Genomic DNA, 10,450 nt, shown 5'->3' with positions numbered 1-10,450 from the left:
TTTCTCAACATTACAACATGCATGAAATATCATGACTAGTTCAGTTATCCAGATACTCATCCAAAATCAAAGGACTGTACAGCATCGTGGTTAAGAGACTGGGGTTTGGAAAAAAACTCCTGAGTCTGGATCTCAGTTGTGCTATTTACAAGTTTTCTGACCTTGGGCAAGTTCCACTTCTGTTAATACCCATCTCATGAGAAGATTTAAGGTTTAGGAGGGATGACATATGCAAGCCATTTCTTACTATTCCTGTGGAAGAGGTCAGTAAATTTTAGCTGTTCTTATTATCTGACCTCTGAATGTGTACAAATTTTGTGGACAACTAAACAGTAAAAATTACCCCCAAATATATTTTCCTAAAATTATAATACAAACATCTTCAAGAGGACATGTATTTGGCAGAACACTTTAGTATTTAATCTCACCACAACTTTGGAAAAGTAATACCATCACAAACAATTCATCACATCCAAAACAAATAAATGGAGCACTCCTACTAGCTGTACATACACAGATAGTGTGTTAAGTAATCACAGAATTCACTGCTTTAGACTTAATCAGCCATTACATGCCCAGAGATGTTTTTTTTTGGAAAGTTTTTATTGGCATTTGAAATGGTTTCCTGTTGGCGAAGTGTGCAGTACCTCAAAACTCAACATGCAAACACTGTATCCAACAGAATTCCACCTCAATAGTTTAAAAACTTATATACATACACTGTGAGAGAACACAGGTCTTCAAAATATCAGTATTTGTAGTGACAGATACTGTGTGTTTAAAAAGCCAAGTTTTTAAAAGTCCTACATTAGTGCAAAATAGTTCCCTCCATAGAGATTTTGCTAGGTCTTCGCAAAAGTCAAACTGTTCACATCTATTGTCATGATTCCATTTACGGTCAGTAGGAGATTGGAAATTAACCATTTTTTCACATGCATTTACTGTTAAAATTTACAGAAGTACTGTATCTCATTTAATAGTCATAAAAACAGTATGGGATAAGTGATAGTATCTCCAGTTCCTGAGGAGGAAATCGAAACTCAGAAAAAAATAAGTAAATTATTTAAGCTCACAACATTTCTAAGTAATGGACTAGGAATCCAAACTCAAGTCTTTTTCATATGAAAGTTCCAATCTTTCATGCCCTACTGCTTCATGAAAATCACTGGTCAAGCTTCTCACTTTTGGAAATGGCTTTTGGATATTTTATTGAAGGGTGGGCCTGTTGATTATAAGGAAGTGATTGGAACATGATTTAAAGTGATTTTGATAAATGATTTTTTTAGGTATCCCACAGTCATAAATGAAAAGGCTTGATAATACAAGTCTTTATATGGCAGGTGGCTCAGAGTATGTTCTCCTACGTTTGAAAACTAAAAGTTCAAGAAGCCTTTGAATTCTGGATTTAGAAAAAGTGCACTAGTATATTTTTAGGCTAATAAAATTTAGACGAAATTAAAAATTTTAGTATTGCAATCCCCAGCATGATTCCTGAATAAAGTGGCTATTAACACCTGCTTATATGGTTTGGTGAAGCTCAAGAATATTGTAAATACTTTAACTTGAATTCTACTATTTATAAAGTGATTGTACGAATGAATTAGAAAGAAACATCCCAAAAGAAGTCTTAATGGGTATAATGGCTATGGTTGCCCTCAATAAAAAAGGTTACAAACATGTATGTGCATATGTCCAAACATACACAGATATGCACAGGTTTTTTTTAATTTTTGTTATTTTATCATATTATATTATTACAAATTATTTAATATTATTCTGGCACTTAAGAAATACTATGAGTTTTTTAACTGTTATAATTCTGTTTCTTTATTACATCTTAGTTATTATTCAAACTAGAAATATAAAATTTGGAAGCAGCAACTCTTGTTTACATTAGCTATTCTTTGCTACATTGAAAAAATATCTTTCAGGGGCCCTTAGCCTTTTTTATGCCATGGGCCCCTTTTCAGAATTATGTTTTTAAATGCATAAAATATATATAGTTACTAAAAACTCAATTATTTTGAAACACATTTGTCAAAACATTTTTAAAGTTTGTGACATATATACTTTTTATTAATGCATTAAATTACAAAATTGAACAGCAGTCTAATGCTGCTATAATTTTGAATTAGTGACAAGGAGAAATGACCTTATGAGATATCTGCAACAGCTGTAATATGATGGGGAAAAATCTGTGTTTTCTATTGGTGACAAGTCACAAGAACTGCCAATAACACTTGATTTGTTGCCTGTGTTCATAATGGAAAGGAATGCCAAAATAAAAATGTAATTTTCTTTCCAACCAAATTTTATTCTGTTCATGGACCCCCTGGAAGTCCATGGACCTCTTGTTAAGAAAGTAACTGTTTTCCACAAGTTTGTATCAGCAATGATTATTTACTATTATTGCATACTTTGGGGCTCCTATTATAATAATCCCTGTCATATTTAAGGTAGACTACACAGCTATATTGGCTTACACTGATATATATTTTGGCGTCCAACAGAATGGAAGTCTTACTTCTTAGTCATATTACAGAAAGGCAGGTGGCTCTCCTCCAGAAGGTAATTCGGGGACCCAGACTCCTTCCACCTTGTATCCGTATTAACTCCTAAGTCCTTATTGTTGTCTACATTCGACTGATAGGAGCAGAAAGAGTGTGAGGAAAAAAAAGTGGTGGTGGTGATGTAAGCCATTTCTGGGCCAAGCCAACTTAAAAGCCAAGACAAAATTTGGGTAGAAAATTAGCTTTTGCTCCTAGAATCATTTTCTTTTAAGGTTCTTATAAGATAGATTTGAGAGAGTGTTTTTCTCATATCATCCCTCACGTTCCTGAGATAAACCTTACTTGGTTTTGGTGGACTGGCTGCTTTTCTAAATTGTTGACCTGGGAAGAACAAATAAAAAACTCAGCAGCCTTTGCACTGTGAATGGGAGCAGCTAAACTGCAAGCATAGAAGCTGTGTAAAGTGTCCTTCTCTTTGACTCCTCAAAAGGTGATCTATCAGTTGCTGCTTCCTATTATTTAACATCCTAAATACCACTTTCATCAGGACTGCCCCTGCCACTGCCTTACTTCAGATGCTCATAAATTCTCTCCAGTACTACTTCTGTAATAGCCTACGGATGGAATGTTTTGTCTTCAGTTTTGTCCTCCCTCCCAAGGTCATTTTTCTACCACTATTCTCCAAACTTTTAAAACTTCACACCCCTGTGAGTGAAAACATTGAGCACACACCTCCATACCTGCACATTGATTTCTTTATAAGTATGCACATTTTTTTGCTATTATATATATATAATAAGATGTTTATACACATTAAAAATGTTTAAATGGACAGATTAAAAGATAAACGTAAATAGAAGTTCTAAGATGATCTTCCCCATTCAATGAATTATTTGACACATACATGTATCATCCTGTGTACTGTCAAGATAAAGGATGCTACAAGCATTGGAGGAGTCATTGAAGAATTACAGCTTACCTGAGAAGCTAGGAAGCACAGGTGGGTCTAGAAGGGGAGAGTCAGGACTAGAGAAACACAGCTTCAGCTTGAAGTAGAAATGCTGAGTTGGAGTTTGCAGGTAAGTCTCAGAAGCAGTAGAACTGACCACAAATAAGGACAGTGAAGTGGGAGCTCCTACAGAATTCTCAGAAAACTGCTGTGCGGGACCATCCCTGGGCACCCCAGGACCTTCTGCATATGATGCTTTTTGCTTCACCTCTACCTTCTAAATTTCCCCAAGTTCCTCTCCTCAGAAAACTCTAAAACATTACTCTACTAAGAAGGCAATTCCAAGAAATGTATTTCCCAGCCTCAGAAGATACTGGAGCTGATGGTGCCAGTTGACAACAACCCATTCAATCCAATATACTTTGGGGAACAGCCACTTCAGATTGGAGACTAATACTCTATTCTGGAATTCAGAGTAGTTTCCTCAAATTGCACCTGATTTTGTCTTTTTCAAAATCTTACAGCTTCCTTTTTCTTCCAGTGGTTTATAATCATTTTGGCCCTGAAAACTTTTGTTTACATACTTACGTAAGAGCATAAGCAAATAAAAATTCTTATATTAAGCATTGGTTGAGCAATGGGAGAGTGTCTGAAGCCTCTTCTATTTCTCCACAACCTGCACTGTTCCCCATAACACTACACACTGCTCCCTTAATAAGGGAACTTCCAGAACACCATGGAATGTGTCTAGAAATCACCGCCCTACAAAGCTCATGAACAGGCACTTCTCAAAAGGAGACATTCACACAACCAATAAAAAGATGAAAAAATGCTAATCATCACTAATCATTAAAGAAATGCAAATCAAAAGCACCATGAGATACTATGTCACACCAATCAGAATGGCTATTATTAAAAAGTTGAAAAATAACAGACGCTGGCAAGGTTGCAGAGAAAAGGGAACATTTATATATTGCTGGTAGGAATATAAATTAGCTTGGCCACTGTGGAAAGCAGTATGGAGATTTCCCAAAGAATGGAACACAGAACTACCATTCAACCCAGCAATCCCTCTATTGGATATATACTCAGAGGAAAATAGATCATGCTACCCAAAAGACACATGTACTCCTATGTTCACTTCAGTGCTATTCATAATAGTAAAAATATGAAATCAACCAAGATGCCCATCAATGCCCACCGATGGACTCGATAAAGAAAATGTGGTACACATACACCATAGAATCCTACTCAGCCATAAAAAAGAATGAAATCATGTCCTTTGCGCAACATGGATGCAGCTGGAGGCCATTATCCTAAGTGAACTAATGCAGGAAAAGAAAACTAAATACCACATGTTCTCACTTATAAGTAGGAGCTGAATATTAAATACACATGGACACAAAGATGGGAACAATAGAGGTGGGAGGGGAGAAAGGGGGATGGCTTGGAAGTCTGCCTGCCTACCGGGCACTATGCTCACTACCTTGGTGACAGGGTTAAGCCTCAGCGACACTATTTATTCATGTAACAAACCTGCACTTGTAACTCCCGGACCTACAATAAGAGCTGAAAAAAAAAAAAAAAAAAAAGAAAGCATGCAAATGAATAGCCAACAGTTACATGAAAAAAAAATGCTCAATATCACTAGTCACTGGGTAAATGCAAATGAAAACCACAATGGGATATCACTTCTCACCTGTTAGAACAGCATTTGTTAAAAAAAAAAAAAATGAAAGATAATAAGTGTTGGCAAGAATGTGGACAAAAGGGAGCCATTACACACTGTTGATGGAAATGTGAATTACTACAGCCATTGCAGAAAACAATATGGAATTTTCTCTAAAAATTAAAAGCAGAACTACCATAGGACCCAGCAATTCCACTTCTCAGTATGTAGTCAAAAGAATTGGAATCAATATGTTGAAGAGATATCTGTACCTCTATGTTCATTTCAGCATTATTTACAATGTACGAGATACAGAATTAACGTAAGTGTCCACCAACAAATAAACGAATACATATACATATTTGTTTTTTGCATATATATATATGTATATATATACATATGCAAAGGAATACTATTCAGCCTTAAAAATAAGGAAATTCTGTCATTTGCAAAAACATGGATAAACCTGGGGAACATTATTTTAAGTAAAATAAGTCCGACACAGAAAGATAAATACTACATAATCTCATTTATAAGTGGAGTCTAAAAAAGGTCAAACTTATAACGTACAGTAGAATGGTGATTCCCAGAGGCTACGGAAAGGGAATGGTTGAGGAGATGTTGGTCAAGGAATACAAAATTTCAGTTAGACAGTAGGAATAAGTTTAAGATATCAATTGTATATTAGGGTAGGTATAATTAATAAAATATATTATATTCTTGAAAATTACTAAAACAGTAAACTTTAAATGTTCTCATTACAAATAAAACTATGTGAGGTAATACATATGATAATTCACTTTATCCATTCCACAATGAAAACATCTATTAAAGGGCAGCCAAGATGGCCGAATAGGAAGAGCTCCGGTCTACAGATCCCAGCGTGAGTGATGCAGAAGACGGGTGATTTCTGCATTTCCATCTGAGGTACTGGGTTCATCTCACTAGGGAGTGCCAGACAGTGGGCACAGGACAGTGAGTGCAGCGCACCATGCGCAAGCCGAAGCAGGGCGAGGCATTACCTCACTCGGGAAGCAAAAGGGGTCAGGGAGTTCCCTTTCCTAGTCAAAGAAAGGGGTGACAGACGGCACCTGGAAAATCGGGTCACTCCCACCCTAATACTGTGCTTTTCCGATGGGCTTAAACAATGGCGCACCAGGAGATTATATCCCGCACATGGCCCAAAGGGTCCTACGCCCACGGAGTCTCCCTGATTGCTAGCACAGCAGTCTGAGATCAAACTGCAAGGTGGCAGCCAGGCTGGGGGAGGGGCGCCCACCATTGCCCAGGCTTGCTTAGGTAAACAAAGCAGCCGGGAAGCTCGAACTGGGTGGAGCCCACCACAGCTCAAGGAGGCCTGCCTGCCTCTGTAGGCTCCACCTCTGGGGGCAGGGCACAGACAAACAAAAAGACAGCAGTAACCTCTGCAGACTTAAATGACACTGTCTGACAGCTTTGAAGAGAGCAGTGGTTCTCCCAGCACGCAGCTGGAGATCTGAGAACAGGCAGACTGCCTCCTCAAGTGGGTCCCTGACCCCTGAGCAGCCTAACTGGGAGGCACACCCCAGTAGGGGCAGACTGACACCTCAAACAGCCGGGTACTCCTCTGAGACAAAACTTCCAGAGGAACAATCAGACAGCAGCATTCGCGGTTCATGAAAATCCACTGCTCTGCAGCCACTGCTGCTGATACCCAGGCAAACAGGGTCTGGAGTGGACCTCTAGCAAATTCCAACAGACCTGCAGCTGAGGGTCCTGTCTGTTAGAAGGAAAACTAACAAGCAGAAAGGACATCAACACCAAAAACCCATCTGTATATCACCATCACCAAAGACCAAAAGTAGATAAAACCACAAAGATGGGGAAAAAACAGAGCAGAACAACTGGAAACTCTAAAAAGTAGAGCACCTCTCCTCCTCCAAAAGAACGTAGTTCCTCACCAGCAATGGAACAAAGCTGGATGGAGAATGACTTTGACGAGTTGAGAGAAGAAGACTTCAGACGATCAAACTACTCCAAGCTACAGGAGGAAATTCAAACCAATGGCAAAGAAGTTAAAAACTTTGAAAAAAAATTAGATGAATGGATACCTAGAATAACCAATGGAGAGAAGTCCTTAAAGGAGCTGATGGAGCTGAAAGCCAAGGCTCGAGAACAACATGAAGAATGCAGAAGCCTCAGGAGCCGATGCGATCAACTGGAAGAAAGGGTATCAGTGATGGAAGATGAAATGAATGAAATGAAGCGAGAAGGGAAGTTTAGAGAAAAAAGAATAAAAAGAAATGAACAAAGCCTCCAAGAAATATGGGACTATGTGAAAAGACCAAATCTACATCTGATTGGTGTACCTGAAAGTGACGGGGAGAATGGAACCAAGTTGGAAAACACTCTGCAGGATATTATCCAGGAGAACTTCCCCAATCAAGCAAGGCAGGCCAACATTCAGATTCAGGAAATACAGAGAATGCCACAAAGGTACTCCTCGAGAAGAGCAACTCCAAGACACATAATTGTCAGATTCACCAAAGTTGAAATGAAGGAAAAAATGTTAAGGGCAGCCAGAGAGAAAGGTCGGGTTAACCACAAAGGGAAGCCCATCAGAATAACAGTGGATCTCTCGGCAGAAACTCTACAAGCCAGAAGAGAGTGGGGGCCAATATTCAACATTCTTAAAGAAAAGAATTGTCAACGCAGAATTTCATATCCAGCCAAACTAAGCTTCATAAGTGAAGGAGAAATAAAATACTTTACAGACAAGCAAATGCTGAGAGATTTTGTCACCACCAGGTCTGCCCTAAAAGAGCTCCTGAAGGAAGCACTAATATGGAAAGGAACAACCAGTACCAGCCACTACAAAATCATACCAAATTGTAAAGACCATCAAGGCTAGGAAGAAACTGCATCAACTAACGAGCAAAATAACCAGCTAACATCATAAGGACAGGACCAAATTCACACATAACAATATTAACTTTAAATGTAAATGGACTAAATGCTCCAACTAAAAGACACAGACTGGCAAATTGGATAAAGAGTCAAGACACATCAGTGTGCTGTATTCAGGAAACCCATCTCACGTGCAGAGACACACATAGGCTCAAAATAAAAGGATGAAGGAAGATCTACCAAGCAAATGGAAAACAAAAAAAGGCAGGGGTTGCAATCCTAGTCTCTGATAAAACAGACTTTAAACCAACAAAGATCAAAAGAGACAAACAAGGCCATTACATAATGGTAAAGGAATCAATTCAACAAGAAGAGCTAACTATTCTAAATATATATGCACCCAATACAGGAGCACCCAGATTCATAAAGCAAGTCCTGAGTGACCTACAAAGAGACTTAGACTCCCACACAATAATAATGGGAGACTTTAACACCCCACTGTCAACATTAGACAGATCAACAAGACAGAAAGTTAACAAGGATACCCACGAATTGAACTCAGCTCTGCACCAAGCGGACCTAATAGACATCTACAGAACTCTCCACCCCAAAACAACAGAATATACATTTTTTTCAGCACCACACCACACCTATTCCAAAATTGACCACATACTTGGAAGTAAAGCACTCCTCAGCAAATGTAAAAGAACAGAAATTATAGCAAACTGTCTCTCAGACCACAGTGCAATCAAACTAGAACTCAGGATTAAGAAACTCACTCAAAACCACTCAACTACATGGACACTGAACAACCTGCTCCTGAATGACTACTGGGTACATAACGAAAGGAAGGCAGAAATAAAGATGTTCTTTGAAACCAACGAGAACAAAGACACAACATACCAGAATCTCTGGGACACATTCAAAGCAGTGTGTAGAGGGAAATTTATGCCCACAAGAGAAAGCAGGAAAGATCCAAAATTGATACCCTAACAACACAATTAAAAGAACTAGAAAAGCAAGAGCAAACACATTCAAAAGCTAGCAGAAGGCAAGAAATAACTAAAATCAGAGCAGAACTGAAGGAAATAGAGACACAAAAAACCCTTCAAACAATTAATGAATCCAGGAGCTGGTTTTTTGAAAGGATCAACAAAATTGATAGACCACTAGCAAGACTAATAAAGAAAAAAAGAGAGAAGAATCAAATAGACGCAATAAAAAATGATAAAGGGGATATCACCACCGATCCCACAGAAATACAAACTACCATCAGAGAATACTACAAACACCTCTATGCAAATAAACTAGAAAATCTAGAAGAAATGGATGAATTCCTCAACACATACACTCTCCCAAGACTAAACCTGGAAGAAGTTGAATCTCTGAATAGACCAATAACAGGATCTGAAATTGTGGCAATAATCAATAGCTTACCAACCAAAAGAGTCCAGGGCCAGATGGATTCACAGCCGAATTCTACCAGAGGTACAAGGAGGAACTGGTACCATTCCTTCTGAAACTATTCCAATTAATAGAAAAAGAGGGAATCCTCCCTAACTCATTTTATGAGGCCAGCATCATCCTGATACCAAAGCCTGGCAGAGACACAACCAAAAAAGAGAATTTTAGACCAATAGCCTTGATGAACATTGATGCAAAAATCCTAAATAAAATACTGGCAAACCGAATCCAACAGCACATCAAAAAGCTTATCCACCATGATCAAGTGGGCTTCATCCCTGGGATGCAAGGCTGGTTCAATATATGCAAATCAATAAATGTAATCCAGCATATAAACAGAACCAAAGACAAAAACCACAAGATTATCTCAATAGATGCAGAAAAGGCCTTTGACAAAATTCAACAACCCTTCATGCTAAAAACTCTCAATCAATTAGGTATTGATGGGATGTATCTCAAAATAATAAGAGCTATCTATGACAAACCCACAGCCAATATCATACTGAATGGGCAAAAACTGGAAGCATTCCCTTTGAAAACCGGCACAAGACAGGAATGCCCTCTCTCACCACTCCTATTCAACATAGTGTGGGAAGTTCTGGCCAGGGCAATTAGGCAGGAGAAGGAAATAAAGGGTATTCAATTAGGAAAAGAGGAAGTCAAATTGTCCCTGTTTGCAGACGACATGATTGTATATCTAGAAAACCCCATTGTCTCAGCCCAAAATCTCCTTAAGCTGATAAGCAACTTCAGCAACGTCTCAGGATACAAAATCAATGTACAAAAATCACAAGCATTCTTATACACCAATAACAGACAGAGAGCCAAATCATGAGTGAACTCCCATTCACAATTGCTTCAAAGAGAATAAAATACTTAGGAATCCAACTTACAAGGGATGTGAAGGACCTCTTCAAGGAGAACTACAAACCACTGCTCAATGAAATAAAAGAGGATACAAACAAATGCAGG

At 38.4% G+C, this 10,450-nt stretch overlaps 1 annotated feature.

Annotated features, from left to right (window-relative positions):
* Positions 434-728: a silencer, noted in NCBI's record as "tiled region #14986; HepG2 Repressive non-DNase unmatched - State 23:Low". NCBI's record gives its function as "represses a minimal TATA promoter and a strong SV40 promoter by Sharpr-MPRA in HepG2 cells {active_cell/tissue: HepG2}" and the evidence as "EXISTENCE:reporter gene assay evidence [ECO:0000049][PMID:27701403]".

The sequence above is a fragment of the Homo sapiens genome, chromosome 2, assembly GCF_000001405.40.
Source record: "Homo sapiens chromosome 2, GRCh38.p14 Primary Assembly".
In the NCBI taxonomy this organism is placed as follows: Eukaryota; Metazoa; Chordata; class Mammalia; order Primates; family Hominidae; genus Homo; species Homo sapiens.
This window is presented reverse-complemented; position numbering and strand designations above follow the sequence as displayed.